Raw genomic sequence first — 18158 nt, forward strand, 5'->3', positions numbered from 1 at the left:
TGGTAGAGATGAGGTCTTGCTGTGTTACCCAGGCTGGTCACAAACTCTTGGCCTGAAGCAATCCTCCCATCTTGGCCTCCCAAAATGCTGGGATTATAGGTGTAAGCCACTGCACCTGGCTGAAAATACATTTTTTACAAGTGCATGAGATGGGTACAGAAAATAGAATGAATAAGATCTAGTATTTGATAGCACAACAGGATGACTATAGTCAATAATAATTTAACGGCTGGGCACGGTGGCTTACGCCTCTTATCCCAGCATTTTGGGAGGCTGAGGTTGGCAGATCATGAGGTCAAGAGATCGAGACCATCCTGGCCAACATGGTGAAACCCCGTCTCTACTAAAAATACAAAAATTAGCTGGGAGTGGTGGCACATGCCTGTAATCCCAGCTACTCCGGAGGCTGAGGCAGGACAATAGCTTGAACCTGGGAGGCAGAGGTTGCAGTGAGCCAAGATCGTGCCAGTGAACTCCAGCCTGGCGGCAGAGCAAGACTCTGTCTAAAAATAAAGTAAAATAAAATAAATTAACAGTGCATTTAAAAATAACTAAGAGGATAATTGGATTTTTGTAACACAAAGGATAAATGCTTGAGGTGATGGGTACCTCATTTACCCTGATGTGATTATTATGCATTGTATTCCTGTATCAAAATATCTTATGCACCCCATAAGCATATACACTATGTACCCAAGAAAGTTAAAAATTTAAAATTAAAGAAAAAGGTGAATGAGGTATTACCCAGATTGTGGCTGATTAGTATTAAAAAAGACAAACACACAGCTGTCATAAGTAACTTATTATACAAAAAATGCATATTCTCATTCCCATAGATTCATATCAATTATCTGATTTTTTTCTTTGTTTTCAATTCAGTGTATTGGTATGCAGATAGAGCCTAAACAGGTAATGAAATAAGAGACTTGCTTAACGTTCTTACAAGTTTCATTTCCAAGAAAGACTAGAGAGTTTTGTTTTGGTTTGTTTTGCTAGCTTAATTTTATTTAATTGGGTTTTGGAAAATTTTAAACTCCCTACTGCATTGAGGTCAGGACTTAGATATGAAAAGGGAACCCACAAAGAGGCGTTTCCAAAGTTAGATCACTTATGGAGGCCACCTCCATGATTTAAAACTCAACCCACTTTTCACATATGCTCCACTTGCTTTGGGAAGCCCTTCAAGGACTTGTCATTATAGAATCTAGAGAAACTGGTGCAGCTAACACAACTACTTGGATTTGGGTCTTAATGCTTCTTGAAGGAAATGTTTGGAAGGGGCATTGTGCACATTTGATTCATGCTTCAAGGATGGCACACCTTATATCTAGTTTTCGTGCATCACATGGCTCTTTCCACAGATGGCGTGATCAACATGAGCATCCCCATTGTACTGCCCGTCTCTGCAGAGGATAAGACACGGCTGGAAGGGTGCAGCAAGTTTGTCCTGGCACATGGTGGACGGAGGGTAGCTATCTTACGAGACGCTGAATTCTATGAACACAGAAAAGAGGAACGCTGTTCCCGTGTTTGGGGGACAACATGTACAAAACACCCCCATATCAAAGTAAGTCACAAAACCTTTGGAAGGACTTTCTTGAGCTATTTAAACTGAGAAGAAAAATAACTCTTTTTAATTCCTTTGCAAAGGACTTAGAAAAACTGGGATTAGGTGGAAGAATGTATTTCTAAGGTAGTGTTTGCAGGCTTTGCCTCAGGAGATGTTTTTAGAAAGGTGCAAAGAAATGTCTTTCTGTTTGAGGTCTGGTCTCAATGATCTCTTGAGTCCTCAGATTCTGCAGTGGCTGGCATCCTCAGCTAAATGGGACCAGATAAGAAATTTAGTCTGACAACATGAGTAGAGAAACAAAATCATAGCTGTAGCTATGCACAAAACCATAATCAGAGCTTGCAGCCCTGCCCATCTTGAAAATGCGCAAGGAACATAAGTATCTTCATAAAGAATGGACCCAACCAAATGCTGGAACAAGAACTCAGAGTTCATGCTCTGTGGCTAGTGAGGGGGTCAATGATACTCTCTTAGTAAATGATACTCTCTTAGTAAACAAAAATCAGCACAGATAGTGGCAGAGTTTCCAGAGGAAAGATATTTTTTCAGTGGATATTTTTAAGATTGAAAAAAATGTGTTCATCTGATAGGATCAGGTAGGGTCTATCATGCCTAAAGGGAAAATAGACTAACTCCTCAGATTCCTTCACAGCTTCTAATTACTGTCGGTGATGGGGTGGGGTGGGATTTTATTAAGTTGCTGGCTGTGGTTCATTTCCCACAAAGAAAAATACATGAAATTGAATGGTAAAACCATCCCTCATCCAAGATAAGAGCAGTAGGGTGGAAATGAAAAAAGTCATATACTACTAATTTGACTTCTCAAATCTCCCAGCATGTCCCTTTCAGCATGTTCACAGGAAGAGAGAGCACTGTCAGACCCAGGAGACTCTAAAAAGCCTGGGATTAGACAAGGCATGCCCTCCCTCTGGGCCTCAGTTTCTTTATTATAAAAGGAGAGGCCAGGCTGGGCGCGGTGGCTCACGCCTGTAATCCCAGTACTTTGGGAGGCCGAGGCCAGCAGATCACCTGAGGTCGGGAGTTCGAGAACAGCCTGGCCAACATGGTGAAACCCCGTCTCTACTAAAAATACAGATATTAGCTGGACATGGTGGCGGGCACCTGTAATCCCAGCTACTCAGGAGGCTAAAGCACGAGAGTTGCTTGAACCCAGGAGGCAGCGGTTGCAGTGAGCCAAGCTGCCAGTGTACTCTAGACTGGGTGACAGAGCGAGACTCTGTCTGAAAGAAAAAAAAAAGAGAGGCCAGACTCAAAATAACTGTAAGATCTCATCCAGCCTCATGACCCTGTCAAAAGATATGGCTTCTTTTGGTCTTCATTTTTGTTACAAAATGTTCCAAGATAGGAAAGACCTTTTAAGTCCCCTGTTTGTGGCCTCTGAAGACCTTCTCTATCTGAACACAAAAGGTCAATGGCAAGCAAAGCAGCTTTTTCATTTATTTATTTTTATTTTTTAAAAATTTTTATTTATGATTTTTTGAGATGGAGTCTTGCTCTGTCATAATCATATAGGTTTGGGATTTTATCTTTACTCAGTGACTGAAAGAATAGCAACCTTTGGTTATGGTTATGTCAGCTCAGATATTTCTACCCTTTGGGAATGATATTCGCATACACATGACTAGCACTAAAAAAACCTGAAGAGTTTCTTAAGTGATTACAGGCATACCTCATTTTACTATGCTTCACTTTATCGTGCTTCACAGATTTTGCTTTTCTTTTCTTTTTTTTTTTTAACAAATTGAAGGTTTGTGTCAACCCTGCACTGAGAAAGTCTGTGAGTGCCATTTTCCCAGCAGCGTGTGCTCATTTTGTGTCTCTGTGTCACATTTTGGTGATTCTTATGATATTTTAGATTTCTTCATTATTATTATGACCTGTTATGGTGATCTACGGTTAGTGATCTTTGATGTTACTATTGTAATTGTTTTGGGACACCACGAATTGCACCCATATGATGGCAGACTTAATTGATAAATGTTGTGTGTGTTCTGCCTTCTCCACTCACTGGCCATTCCCGCATCTCTCTCCCTCTCCTTGGGCCTCCCTATTTCCTGAGATCCAACAATATTTGAATTAGGCCAATTAATAACCCTGCAATGGCCTCTAAGTGTTCAGGTGAAAGGAAGACTCACACATCTCTCACTTTAAATCAAAATGATTGAGCTTAGTGAGGAAGGCATGTAGAAAGCTGAAATTGGACCCAGGTGCAGTGGCTCACACTTGTAATCCCAGCACTTTGGGAGGCCAGGGTGGGCGGATCACTTGAAGTCAGGAGTCCGAGACCAGCCTGACCAACATGGAGGAACCCCATCTCTACTAAAAATACAAAATTAGCCGGGCATGGTGGTGCATGCCTGTAATCCCAGCTACTTGGGAGCTTGAGGCAGGAGAATCGCTTGAACCCAGGAAGTGGAGGTTGCACTGAGCCGAGGTAGCGCCATTGCACTCCAGCCTGCAACAAGAGCGATACTCCGTCTCAAAAAAAATAAGAAAAAGAAATTTGAATTAGGCCTCCTGGGCCAGTTAGCCAAGTTGTAAATGCAAAGGAAAAGTTCTTGAAGGAAATTACACACAGTGAGCTAACAAATGATAAGAAAACAAAGCAGCCTTATTGCCAATGTAGGGGTCAAGGGAAAACTTCCCCTTTGCCCCCTGAAGTTTTGCTGAAAAGGCAACTGACAAAAGGCAGATTAATGAGAAAAGGCATCCAGATTTATTACTGCACACGGGGAAAATCACAGAGTGATTACTCCTTACCCCGATGGGGTAGAGAAGCTTATATACCATCCTGAGATTATAGAAAAAATGAAGGCTCAGAGGATGGCCAAAACCAGGTTATGGCAGGAAATCAGGTTACGCTGGTAAGACAGGTTATGGGAGGGAGGGAAGAGAAGGCCTGTGTAGCAAAGATGGTCTTGTTATATAGATGAAATGAAATTTTAGAGGTAAATGTTTCTTTCAGACCTTTAAATGTGTCAAAGTCTCAGTTAATGTTTCCTAGATCCAGCAAGAGAAGGCCCTTAGAGAAAGCCTGGCTGTATCAATGTAGATTTTCTCTTCAAATGCAAATGTACCCCACAAAAGGCAGATTTTTAGCTATTTTTGTATTTTCCAGCCCTTTTGAATAGCCATCTTGAACTATGTCAAAGAAATATATTTTGGGGTAAAATATTTTGGTTTCCTTAACAGATATGGAGAAGGTTTGAGTGGTCTTGTCCAACCAGCTACAACATTGCCTTAAGCCAAAACACCTAATTCAGAGCAAAGCCCTAACTCCCTTCAATTCTATGAAGGTTGAGAGAGGTGAGAAAGCTGCAGAAGAAAAGTTGGAAGCTAGCAGAGGTTGGTTCAAGGGGTTTAAGGAAAAAAGCCATCTCCATAACATAAAAGTACAAGGTGATGCAGCAAGTGCTGATGTAGGAGCTGCAGCAAGTTACCCAGAAGATCTAGCTAAGATCATTGATGTAGGTGGCTACACTAACAACAGATTTTCAGTGTAGAAGAAACAGCCTTCTATTGGAAGAAGATGCCACCTAGGATTTTCAGAGCTAAAGAAGAGAAGTCAATGCCTGGCTTCAAAGCTTCAAAGGACAGGCTAACTCTCCTGTTAGGAGCTAGTATAGCTGGTGACTTTAAGTTGAAGCCAGTGCTCATTGGCCATTCTGAAAATCCTAGGGTCCTTAAGGATTATGCTGAATTTATTCTTCCTGTGCTCTATAAATGGAAAAACAAAGCCTGGATGATAGCACATCTGTTTACAGCGTGGTTTACTGAATATTTTAAGCCCACTATTGAGACCGACTGCTCAAAAAAAGATTCATTTCAAAATATCACTGCTAATTGACAGTGCACCTAGTTACCCAAGAACTCTGAGGAAGATGTATAAGGAGATTAATTTGTTTTCATGCATAACACCATCCATTCTGCAGCCCACGGATCAAAGAGTAATTTCAACTTTCAGGTCTTATTGTTTAAGAAATACATTTTGTAAGGGTATAGCTGCTCTAGATGGTGATTCCTCAGATGAATGTGGGCAAAGTAAACTGAAAACCTTCTGGAAGGGATTCACCATTCTGGATGCCATCAAGAACATTTGCAATTCGTGGGAAGAGGTTAAATATCAACACTAATGGGAGTTTGGAAGAAGTTGATTTCATCCTTCATGGATGACTTTGAGGGGTTCAAGACTTCAGTAGAGGAAGTAACTGCAGACGTGGTGGAAATAGCAAGAGAACTAGAATTAGAAGTGGAGCCTGAAGAAGTAACTGAATTGTTGCAATCTCATGATAGAATTTGAAAGGATGAGGAGTTGCTTCCTATGAATGAGCAAATAAATCGTTTTTTTGAGATAGAATCTACTCCTGGTGAAGATTCTCTTGAAATGGCAACAAAGTATTCAGAATATTATGTAAGCTTAGTTGATAAAGCAGTGGCAGCCTGTGAGAGGATTGACTCCAATTTTGAAGGAAGTTCTACCATGCGTAAAATGCTATCAAACAGCATCTCATGCTACAGAGAAATCTTTCATGAAAGAAAGAGTCAATTGATATGACCAACTTCATTGTTGTCTTATTTTAATAAATTGCCACAGCCACCCCAGACTTTAGCAACCATCACCCTGATTTGTCAGCAGCTATTAACACAAGACTCTCCACCAGGAGAATGATTACAACTCTCTGAAGGCTCAGAGGATCATTAACATTTTTAGCAAAAAGGTATTTTTAAATTAAGATAGGCTGGGCGCGGTGGCTCACCCTGTAATCCCAACACTTTGGGAGGCCGATTGTTTCAGCCCAGGAGTTTGAGATCAGCCTTGGCAACATGGCGAAACCCTCTCCCTGCTAAAAATACAAAAAATTAGCTGGGCATAGTGGTGCACACCTGTAGTACCAGCTACTCAGGAGGCTGAGGTGGGAGGATCACCTGAGCCTGGGAAGTCGAGGCTGCAGTGAGCTGTGATTGTATCAGTGCACTCCAACCTGGGCTATAGGAGTGAGACCCTTTCTCAAAAAAAAAAAAAGTTTAGATAATATTACATTTTAAAGACATAATGCCATTGCACACTTCATAGACTACAGTATAGTGTAAACATAACTTTTAAAATGCACTGGGAAACCAAAAAATTTGTGTGACTCCGTTTATTACAATATTCACTTTATTGCAGTAGTCTGGAACTGAACCTGCAATGTTTCTCAGGTATGCCTGTATTTTTTTCATCATGCCTTACAATGCATGCTGGCAGATGGAACTCAGAATTTTAGAATTTCTTAGAAGCCAAGGAGAATGGTGGCATGACTTGTGTCTTTGACAATATTTTCAGTGATTCTATACCTTTAGGTTATTAGGGGGACTCGATAAACATTCCCAGGGAGCTAATGGTGAGAAATGAGCCTTGGATAACCAGAGAGAGAAAGCCACTCACCCTGCAGACATTTTGTGCAAAAGTGAGAGAGATTGATGAAGATTGTTGAAGATTGTCGCATGTACCAAACACACAAGTTTTATTGGCAAAATAATTCTTTTTGCTGTGTCCTTTTTTAGCACTCTGAAACCCACAAAAACACTTTAACACAGGTTTTTAGAACCCCACAGCTTCCAAAAGTAATTACTTCTGCGGGAATCCTGGGCCTTATTCTATTTCCATGTGGCACTGGGAGTGATATTTGCAAGGAAAATAGAGTCACTAGGAAATGGTCTGCCTTTGTTACAGAGCTTATCTCCAACGTCATTCTTGACCTTCCATTCAAGGCATCCAGCCCTCTCTTTGGCATCACTAAGTATAGAACCGTGTGACATGCGCTCAAATGAAATCATCAGGAGGAGCAGGTGAAACTTGTAAAACTAATGCTTGCTGGGGCTTTGTTGCCTTTCGTCCATGGCTCCCAGAGATTTGTCAAGTAGTAATTATTTTTCACAATGCTCTTGGTGAGGAAAGTAAGAATCATTACTCCTGTTTTGCACTCTACATTTTCTTGTACAAACCAAGAGAACAGAATATGACTTCTCAATGAAAGATGGGAATGAGAGTTTATAGCCTTTAGCTCCACAATGAAAACCATATGGTTAGTTATATCAACAGAATCACCTGAGGAGCTTTACAAATCACCCATGACTGGATCCCATCCTCACAGATTCTCATTTAATTGGCTTTGAGTCAGATCTGATTATTGAGGGGTGGGTAGTTAAAGCTCCCCGTGATTCTAATGGGCTGTGAAGGTTGAGAACTATTGAGTTAGATAATTGTTTGGAGCTATTTTCTTTAGGGCCCCACCTGCATATATCCTGCAAGTACCTCAAACTCAACATGTTTAACCTCCCCCCAAGCCTGTTCCCCCTACTATGTCTCCTATCTTAGTGACAGCTTCACCATCCAAATGGTGGCCTGTGACCAAAACCTGGATGCCATTCTTGCTTCTCTCTTCTCCCCTTGTCCATTCAGTCACCACGTCCTGCCAAATGTAGCTTTCAGTTATTGCTTGAATTCATTCACTCCTCTTCTATTCCATCTTGGGTCAGGACATTTCAATTCTTTCCTCTCTCTTGTCTTACTCCCCCATAATCTCCCACTCTTTAGCTAGAGTGAATTATTCAACTTTTCTTTGGAAACCCCTTTATTAAGATACAATTTACCGCAAAGCCTCTTGCCACCACCAGCCAACACACTCCCTCGTCCAGTCCTTCCAGAGCTGGTCATTCGATCATGCGCTCTCTGACTTTTGCACATACTCATCCTTCAACCTGGCACACTGTTTCTTCCACCTCTGCCTCCGGACCTTATTACCTCCTTTCAGAAGTCAGCACTGACTCCTATGACACATGAGCATAACTGAGTGCCCCTTCTTTGTCCTCCCAGAGTAATTTGGACTTGCCCCTTTCATACCTGTGACAGGTGAAGCTGAAATGTCAATATGGGGGCCACTGATGAGAGGCAGTGGGTGCAGTGATGAGAAGAATCTGGTTTGCAGGAGTCTGAGATTTGGGTCTTGGCTTTGGTAAGAAAGCTCTGTGCACTTGAACTCTGCCACTTCCCCTCTGTAAAACTGCCTTCTCTTCTGAAAATGAGGACATTAAATCTACATTACCTCCAGGTTCCTTAAAGCCCCAGATTCTGTGACTATGACTGATAGCACAGAAATGAATGTGTGTGTATATATATATATATATATATATATATATATATATATATATATGTATGTATTCTCCTCTTGTAGGCATTAGTTTTTCTTCTCTTTGATTCTGTTCTCTGCACCCTTTCATCATGACCTTATCTTGCTGAATCCACCATTTCCTTCCTTCTTTCTGGTTTCTTTCCCTTCTCTCTGCTCCCTTTTTGCATTCTTTTTCACCTTCCCACCCTCAGCTGCTCCTCCCTTTCCAATTAGTGCATTCCCTCATCTCCAGATTGTTTCTTTTGAGTCTTCCTCTCCTTGGCCTCTTTGAGCCTATTTATCATAGCTTTCTTAGTCTTTACGCTAGTGGTTGAGCTTATCCTCTCCTTTATGCATTCTTGTGTGTAATTTTGAGCCCAATTCCCTATTTGCTACTTCACTGGGCTCCTGAAGCCTGCTCCCCATTCCTTTTGGCGCATCTAGTTCTGCAAATCCTCTAGCTGTGGCCCCCCTGCTGTCTTTGGCAGGAAGCTTGGAAGGGGGTGGGGACTTCTAGGCCACAAAGCCCTGGGAAATTAAGCAGAGCCTCTGGATCTCCCTTCCTGACAGCTGGACACAGTTCTGGCGATAATTGGACCACCTTAGGGATAGAGATGCCCCTTGTCCCTCCCCATCCCAGAAATGCCAAACACATAGTTTTAACATCTCTCTTCAAACAGACAGGTTTTTAGGCTGGATGGTGGATGAATTCGGTTTGATGCCCCCTTCACCAATAGATAGAGCAATATACGGTGGACCCCTAGTGTCCAGAATAAATTACTGCATCCTCAGGGGTTTGGAGGTCAGTTCTCAAAATTGTGCTGTGTCCAACTCTAAGCAATGAGGAGAAAGTAGATGTATAGGTATGGATATTTGAAAATGTTCTTGTTGAATTATCTGACTGAGCACAGAGTTTAGAAAAGAGGCCATGAAAACACAACCGAAAACCTTGCATAATTGCCTTCTGTCTACCGCAGGGTTTCTCAGCCTCAGCACTGTTGACATATTGGACTAGATAATTCTTCACTGAGAGGGCAGTTCTGTGCAATGTAGGATATTTAGTAGCATCCCTAGCCTCTGTTCACCAGATGCCAATAGCACTTCAGTCATCACAATCAAAATTATCTTCAGATATTGTCAAATGTCACCAGGAGTGACTAAATCAGCCTCTGTTTAGAGCCACTGCTCTATCCCAATCCCCCACTCCCTGAACCTCTCTGGAATGCAGGTCATGGTAAACCCCAATATCTGGCCATAATGGGGACTGTGAACCAGGTCCACCATCACTATCTTCGTGTCTTCCTACTAGGTGTTTCAAATCAGCTTTCTCTCACTCACTCTTGCCTCCCTCTTCTCTGCTAACATTTCAGGTAACCAAGTTGTATTTGGAAAGTGGTGAAAGGTACTTGGGGTTTGATTAGGGGGAGGATTGTAAAACCATTACATGTTTGACTGAGGAATGAGATTGGCTGTAAGTATTTGTGTCAGTGACTAGGAGAGACACAGCTCTGTAATTGATTATACTTCAATACCAGATGGAAAATATTTAAACTTATAGAAAAAAAACAAAGGTTGCCATGTTTTTCTTTTCTTTCTTTCTTTTTTTTTTTTTTTTTTTTTTGAGACAGAGTCTTACTCTGTTGCCCAGGCTGGAGTGCAGTGGCGAGACCCCGGCTCACTGCAACCTCCGCCTCCCAGGTTCAAGTGATTCTCCTGCCTCAACCTCCTGAGTAGCTGGGATTACAGGTGCCCGCCACCAGGCCTGGCTATTTTTTATATTTTTAGTAGAGACAGGGTTTCACCATATTGGCCAGGCTGGTCTTGAACTCCTGACTTCATGATCCACCCACCTCAGCCTCTCAAAGTACTGGGATTACAGGAGTGAGCCACCATGCCCGACCATGTTTTTCTTTTTCATTAGTTTCACCATTCTTCAACCCTGGCTTACCCCTAACATTTGTGGGGCCCAGAGCAAGAATACAAATGGAGAGCCATACATCATATTTAAAAGTTACATGTGTAACTAACAAACTGCTAAATAAAATGTGTTTGATCCTTCTACTTTGACAACTATGCCTTAATCACAAACTGGAAAGCCAGGTTCAAATATAGACTTCTGGGTTCTGCATCAGAATATGGTAGTGTGTGGAGAGTTGGCCCTTGGCCTTTCACCAACTCTCCCTTCTCCTTCTATGCTTGGCCTCTTCCTATGCTATGTGGGTCCTCTGGATTGATTTGTGGGCACCCCAGGCTGCATGGCTGAGCTCTCTCCACAACCTCTGCAGACCCTCCCTGCTTGGCCCGCCCTCAGAAGTAGGGCTGCTCTGAGTGTGTGGTCCACCCTGGAAAGACAGGTTGGGAGATGAAGCTCTCCCAGGCCTAGCAGCAAGCTCAGAGTTGATTGGGCAGGAAATTCTAGAGTTCTGGGTACCCTGATTATGATCAAAAGAGTAGGTGATGACTCTGGGTGGGTCTTCCCACCAAGGGTCTCCTTGCCTTTATGAGATAGACACAACCAAAGGGGGCCAGAGTTGGGCCATCTAATGTGTGGGACACTATGAAGATGGTTCTTCTGCAGGTCTCCAGGTGCTCTTCACACCCACCCTTTCCTGAAGTCACATTTTCAGCTGAGACTGGGAATAGAAAAGTGATTGCTTCTAACCTCAGTGAAATAAATCCTCAGTGAGTTAAAAAACGGTGGTTCCTCTAAAAAAAAAAATTAAGGTAAAAAACAGAACATAAAAATTATCATCTTAACCTTCTTGTAAGTGTGCAACTCAGTAATGTTAAGCATATTCACATTGTTGTGAACCAAATCTCCAGAACTTTGTCATCTTGCAAAATGGAAACTCTACACCCATTAAACAACTCCCGCGGTCAGGCATGGTGGCTCACGCTTGTAATCCCAACACTTTGGAAGGCCGAAGTTGGAGGATTGCTTGAGCCCAGGAGTTGAGACCTATCTGGTTATCATAGTGAGAACCTGTCTCTACAAAAAAAAAATTTTAAAATTAGCCAGGTGTGGTGGCATGCTTGTAGTCCCAGCTACTTGGGAGGTTGAGGTGGGAGAACTGCATAAGCCCCGGAGGTAGAGGCTGCAGTGAGCTACTGCATGCCAGCCTGGTGACAGAGTGAGACCTGCCTCAAACAAAAACAAAAACAACTCCCCTCTTCTTCTTTCCTCCAGCTCCTGGTAACTACCATCCTTCCTCCAGCCCGTGGTAACTACCATTGCACTCTCTGTTTCTATGAATTCGACTAGAATTCATAGAAATTTAGATACCTCATATAAGTGGAATCATGTAATATTTGCTTTTTTGTGACTGGCTTATTTCACTTAGCCTAATGTCCTCAAGGTTCAGCCATGTTATAGCATGTGACAGGATTTCCTTCCTTTTAAAGGATGAATGATCTTCCCTTGTATGTGTATACCACATTTTATTTACCCATTCATCCATCTATGCACATTTGGGTTGCTTCCACCTCTTGGCTATTTGAATAGTGCTGCTGTGAACATGAGGATACAAATATTTCTTCAAGACTCTTTCATTTCCTTTGAATATACACCCATAAGTAGGATTGCTGGATCATATGGTAGTTCCATTTTTAATTCACTGAGGAACCTCCATACTGTTTTCCATAGTGGTTGCACCTTTTACAATCCCACTAACAGTGTACAAGGGTTCCAATTTTTATTTTTCTACATCCTCACCAACACCAACACTTGTTTTTTTTCTTTTCTGTGTGTGTGTATGTGTGTGTGTGTGTGTGTGTGTCTCTGTCACCCAGGCTGAAGTGCAGTGACGCAATCATGGCTCACTGCAGCCTCAACCTTCCCAGGCTCAGGTGATCCTCCCACCTCAGCCTGCTGAGTAGCTGGGACTACAGGCATGCACCACCATGCCAGATTAATTTTTATATTTTATGAAGAGATGGGGTTTTACCATGTTGCCCAGGCTGGTCTCAAACTCTGGGCTTAAGCAATCCACCCAACTTGGCTCATGCTGGGATTACAGGCGTGAGCCACTGTGCCCAGCCATTTTCTGTTTTTTAATAGTGGCCATCCTAATGGATGGGAGATGATATCTCATTGTAGTTTTGATTTGCATTTCTCATAATTAATGATGCTGAGCATCTTACATGCTTTTGGCCATTTGTAGATCATCTCAAGTTATGTCTATTCAAGTCCTTTGCCTATTTCTTAATTGGGTTAATTTTTTTGTCATTGAGTTGTAGGAGTTTTTATATATTCTGGATATTAACCCCTTATCAGAAAATATGATTTTCAAATATTTTCTCTTTCTATAGGTTGCTTTTTCACTGTTGTGTTCTTTGATGCACATATGTTTGAAGTAGTTGCAATTTTTTTTGCTTTTGTTGCCCATGTTTTAGATGTCATGTCTAATAAATCATTTCCAACTCCAATATCATAAAGCTTTTTCCCTTATATTTTTTGTAAGAGTTTAATAGTTTTATGTCTTACTTTTAGGTGTTTCATCCATTTTGAGTTAAATTTTGTATGTGGTGTAAGATAAGGGTCCAACTTCATTCCTTTGCATGTGGATATCCAGTTTTCCCAACATTATTTGTTGAAGAGACTGTCCTTTCCCCCATTGAGTGGTCCTGGTACCCTTGTCAAAGATTATTTTTAAAAATAGGGTTTTAGCTAATAGTCTATGTTTAGCCTTAGATGTGAATTTGGCTACATTTTGCTGCGCTTTGGAGATTTCCTTTTGTTTTAAAATCAGATATAATTGAAGAAGGCTGCTTCTTTTGAGAATTTCCATAGAAATTGTGCCCAACAATAATTAACTGGAAGAAAACAAGTTGTCCGATTTTTCCCCCAGGGTCTCTAATTTAGGTCTTCATTGGAAATAGTCTAAGATACATCAGACTGTATTAGGAATGTACTAGCAGCAGTTCTCAAGTATGGCTTACAAAACTGAGGGTCCCCAAGACCTTTCTAGAGAATCCCCAAGTTCAAAACTGTGTTCATAATACTAAGACATTCTTTGCCTTTTTCTCTGTGTTGACATTTGAATTGCTGGTACAAAAGCAGTAGTGGTTAAAACTGCTGTAACTTTAGACTCGAGACAATGACAACTATGTCCATAGTCACTGCACTATTCATCATCATGCACTTGCAGTAAAAGCAATGCTAGCTTCACCTAAGAGTGTTCTTGATGAAGCTGTAAAAGCGATTATTAAATCTTGGCCCTTGAGTCCCCGTCTTTTTAGTATTCCATTACAAAAGAGGAAGTACACATTAAAGTACTTCTGCTACATATACCAATGTACAATGGTTGTCTTAAGGAAAAGTACTTGCACAGTGGTTTGTGCTACAAGCAATACTAGCCACTATTTTTTTTCATGGATCACCATGTCTACTTGAAAGCATGAGTGATAAACTATGGTTATTCAGATATGACTATTCGGCAGATATTTTTCAAAATGGACAAAGGGAACCTGATAATTCAAGGAAAACAGCTGAGAGTATTCATTGCCAATGATAAATCTTAAGGTTTCAAGCAAAATATTTTTGGAAAATTTTTATTCACCACCATAAGCTTGGCAGATTCCCAGTACTTAGAAAACTTTTTGATGAGACTAGTAGTGATATTAACACATGTGTGATGAGACTAGTAGTGATATTAACACATGTGTGTGTTTAAAAATCCTGTAATGAAATATGTCAACACTTGGAAGACTTACAAACTCAGTGAACTAGTAGTTTCTAATTGGCCAATATACAATATTGCAAAATCATTCATGGGTAAATGATTCATCCAAAGCACAGTGAACTAATAGTTTCTAATTGGCCAATATGTAATATTGCAAAATCATTCATGGGTAAATGATTCATCCAAAGCACAATGGATTTTTAATGTAACAGAGTATGAGAAGTGCATTAATATGGCTGCCCATTCCACAGTCCAACTTAAACCTTTAAGAAACTGACACTTGTTGAGTTTTGGTGTAGTATCAGATAAGAATATCCATAATTGTGCAAAAAGGCTATCCAAATCCTCTTCTCTTTTCCAGCTACCTACCTATAGTTGGACTTCCTTTTTATACTTCAGCCAAAACAATGTATTACTACAGATTAAATGTAGACATAGATATGAGAATCCAGCTGTCTTCTATTAAGTCAGATATTAAAAAGATTGCAAATATGTAAAACAATACCATACTTCCCTACATTTGGGGAGGAAAATGCTTATTTTTCACTAAAAATGTTATATATGTTAACAGGCAATAGGTTTATTAATGTTAGCTTTAGATGGATTGATAAACATTTTTAAAGGTTCTCAGTTTAAATTTCTAATATGAAAAGTAATGATAGCTATAACCCACAAAAATGAAAGCTCATGGTGGGGGGTACTCAATAATTTTTTAAGAGCATAACGGGTTCTAGAGACCAAAAAGTTTGAGAAATACTGTGCCAGAAATACTAAAGAACTGAAGGCAGTTCTTTAACTGTAACCCGAGATTGGTCTAAAAGGAGAAAACTTTTCAGATAAAATAGAAATCACAATTAATCATTAGCAATCATAACAATGTTCTTTCTAGATGGTGATGGAAAGTGGGGACTGGCTGGTTGGTGGAGACCTTCAGGTGCTGGAGAAAATAAGATGGAATGATGGGCTGGACCAATACCGTCTGACACCTCTGGAGCTCAAACAGAAATGTAAAGAAATGAATGCTGGTATGTAAACTGTTCTTAGTGCATTTTATTTATTTATTTATTGAGATGGTGTCTTGTTCTGTCACCCAGGCTGGAGTGCAATGGCACGATCTCAGCTCACTGCAACCTCTGCCTCCCAGGTTCAAGTAATTCTCCTGCCTCAGCCTCCTGAGTAGCTTGGATTACAGGTGCCCACCACTACGCCCAGCTAATTTTTGTATTTTTAGTAGAGACAGGGTTTCAACATGTTGGTCAGGCTGGTCTCAAACTCCTGACCTCAGGTGATCCCCCTACCTTGGCCTCCCAAAGTGCTGGGATTACAGATGTGAGCCACTGCACCCGGCCCCTAGTACATTTATTAATATTCCCTTACCACCCTCTGATTAAAGAATTAAGGATACCAGGAGTCAGCATTTTCTTTTTTAAGAGACAGGTCTCACCCTGTCACCCAGGCTGGAGTGCAGTGGCATGACCATAGCTCACTGCAGCCTCAACCTCCTGGGCTCAAGTAATTCTCCAACCTTAACCTCACAAGTAGCTGGGACTACAAGGCACATGCCACCATACTCTGCTAATTTTTATATTTTTTTGTAGAAATGGGTCTCACTATGTTTTCCAGGCTGGTCTTGAACTCCTGGGCTCAAGCAATCTCCCCGCCTCAGCCTCCCAAAGTGCTGGGATTACAGGCATGAGCCACCATCATGCCTGGCTTCAGCATTTTTATAGTTAAAAATAACCTGAAAACATCTTCTATTGGTATGTCTATAATATGGAAACAGTTTTATAAAGTTGTACTATATATTAGAACCATATATTAGAACGCTATTCAACAGTTTAAAATATTCACTGATAGAGATAGCTGAAGTGTATTTATGAAGTGAAAAAGCAAATTGCAGAACAATATGTAGAGCATAATCATGTTCTGGAAAACAAAATAAAATATCATCATAATTCTAAAATCCCTAACCTACTTCTGTGCATAGTGGCAGAAAAGTCTCTGGCAGCACATGCCCCAAACTGCAGATTACAGTGGCTACCTCTTGGGGATGGAGTTTGGACTAAGAGATTTTTACTCTTTATTGTATACATTTTGAAAAAGAGGGAGAAAAAGTAATAATAGGATTGGTGATTTTTATATTCTATTTTGGGCTTTTCTGTATTTCTCAAGTTTTTCATTATAATATTGAAAGTATTCATTTTCAATACTATAGACATAAAAATTATTTCATTATCAGAAAAAAAAATTAAGGCTCTCAGGAGTCCACCACTAAGTGGAGTAGTTTTGGAGATTTCTTTAAAGCGAAAGCAAAATTTTTTTATATCTTTAGATTGTTGCCCCTTGCACAGGCCCCAGAAAACATTTGTTACAATTATTCACCTCCCTCTAGGCTTCCTGGTACAAGAGGACTAATTAACACTGGCCCTGCCTGAGCCTTGGTGTACAGGAAAGGTCCTGGCAACAAATCTTTTCATTCCTGAGTTAGGCTGTCCCTAAGCAGCTTCCTGCCTCTGCATCTCATCCCTGTCTCAGCTATCTGGTGTTGGTTAGTGCTGGATTAACACCTCTAAAGACCCAGGTGTATTCTCCAGCTGATTATCAGAAGCCAGTGGATAGGCTGGGTGCAGTGGCTTACGCCTGTAATCCCAACACTTTGGGAGGCTGAGGCAGGCGGATCACTTGAGGTCAGGGGTTCGAGACCAGCCTGGCCAACATGGTGAAACCCTGAGTCTACTAAAAATACAAAAATTAGCCGGGTGTGGTGGCACACGCCTGTAATCCCAGCTACTCAGGAGGCTGAGGCAGGAGAATCGCTTGAATCCTGGAGGCGGAGGTTGCAGTGACCTGAGATCGCTGACTGCACTCCAGCCTGGGCAACAGAGTGAGACTCTTTCAAAAAAAAAAAAAAAAGCCAGTGGATAATGAATGCACAGAACAATAAACATAGCTGTGTCCTTTCTGTTCTTGTGGAGAAATGACACCATGTGTTTCTGTGACCTTCCTTCTTCTGCTTTCCTCTCCCAGATGCGGTGTTTGCATTCCAGTTGCGCAATCCTGTCCACAATGGCCATGCCCTGTTGATGCAGGACACTCGCCGCAGGCTCCTAGAGAGGGGCTACAAGCACCCGGTCCTCCTACTACACCCTCTGGGCGGCTGGACCAAGGATGACGATGTGCCTCTAGACTGGCGGATGAAGCAGCACGCGGCTGTGCTCGAGGAAGGGGTCCTGGATCCCAAGTCAACCATTGTTGCCATCTTTCCGTCTCCCATGTTATATGCTGGCCCCACAGAGGTGAGCAATTCCCAGAGCTGGGCTTTGAGACTCAGGAATTCAGACTCAGACTTTACATAGAAGAGTAAATGAGTCTCTGGGATCCTTTCTGTTTCCTCATGAGCAGATTCTGGAATGTTCTGGTGTCTCTTCTTTATCTAGCTTAATTATGTTTCCACTTAGTATTTGAAAAGTGCTAGAAGGCCAGGCGCAGTGGCTGTCACCTGTAATCCCAGCACTTTGGGAGGCCGAGGTGGGCAGATCACAAGGTCAGGAGTTCGAGGCCACCTGACCAACATGATGAAACCCTGTCTCTACTAAAAATACAAAAATTAGCTGGGCATAGTGGCATGCCCCTGTAATCCCAGCTACTCGGGAAGCTGAGGCAGGAGAATCGCTTGAACCTGGGAGGTGGAGGTTGCAGTGAGCCGAGATCATGCCACTGCACTCCAGCCTGGGC

At 41.6% G+C, this 18158-nt stretch overlaps 1 protein-coding gene across 2 annotated transcripts in view, besides 1 other annotated feature; it reads left to right on the top strand.

Annotated features, from left to right (window-relative positions):
* Positions 1-18158, top strand: part of PAPSS2 (3'-phosphoadenosine 5'-phosphosulfate synthase 2) — an 87828-nt gene that overhangs the window by 66045 nt on the left and 3625 nt on the right. For both annotated transcript variants that reach the window (NM_001015880.2, NM_004670.4), the window contains 3 exons: positions 1362-1567; positions 15313-15448; positions 17451-17719. In NM_001015880.2, the coding sequence (NP_001015880.1) occupies positions 1362-1567; positions 15313-15448; positions 17451-17719 (611 nt within the window). The remainder of the gene's footprint in view (positions 1-1361; positions 1568-15312; positions 15449-17450; positions 17720-18158) is intronic.
* Positions 17560-18059: an enhancer, noted in NCBI's record as "H3K4me1 hESC enhancer chr10:89503239-89503738 (GRCh37/hg19 assembly coordinates)". NCBI's record gives its function as "activates a minimal SCP1, AML or CMV promoter by ChIP-STARR-seq in naive H9 embryonic stem cells {active_cell/tissue: H9 hESC(naive)}" and the evidence as "EXISTENCE:reporter gene assay evidence [ECO:0000049][PMID:30033119]".

The sequence above is a fragment of the Homo sapiens genome, chromosome 10 (genome assembly GCF_000001405.40).
Source record: "Homo sapiens chromosome 10, GRCh38.p14 Primary Assembly".
In the NCBI taxonomy this organism is placed as follows: Eukaryota; Metazoa; Chordata; class Mammalia; order Primates; family Hominidae; genus Homo; species Homo sapiens.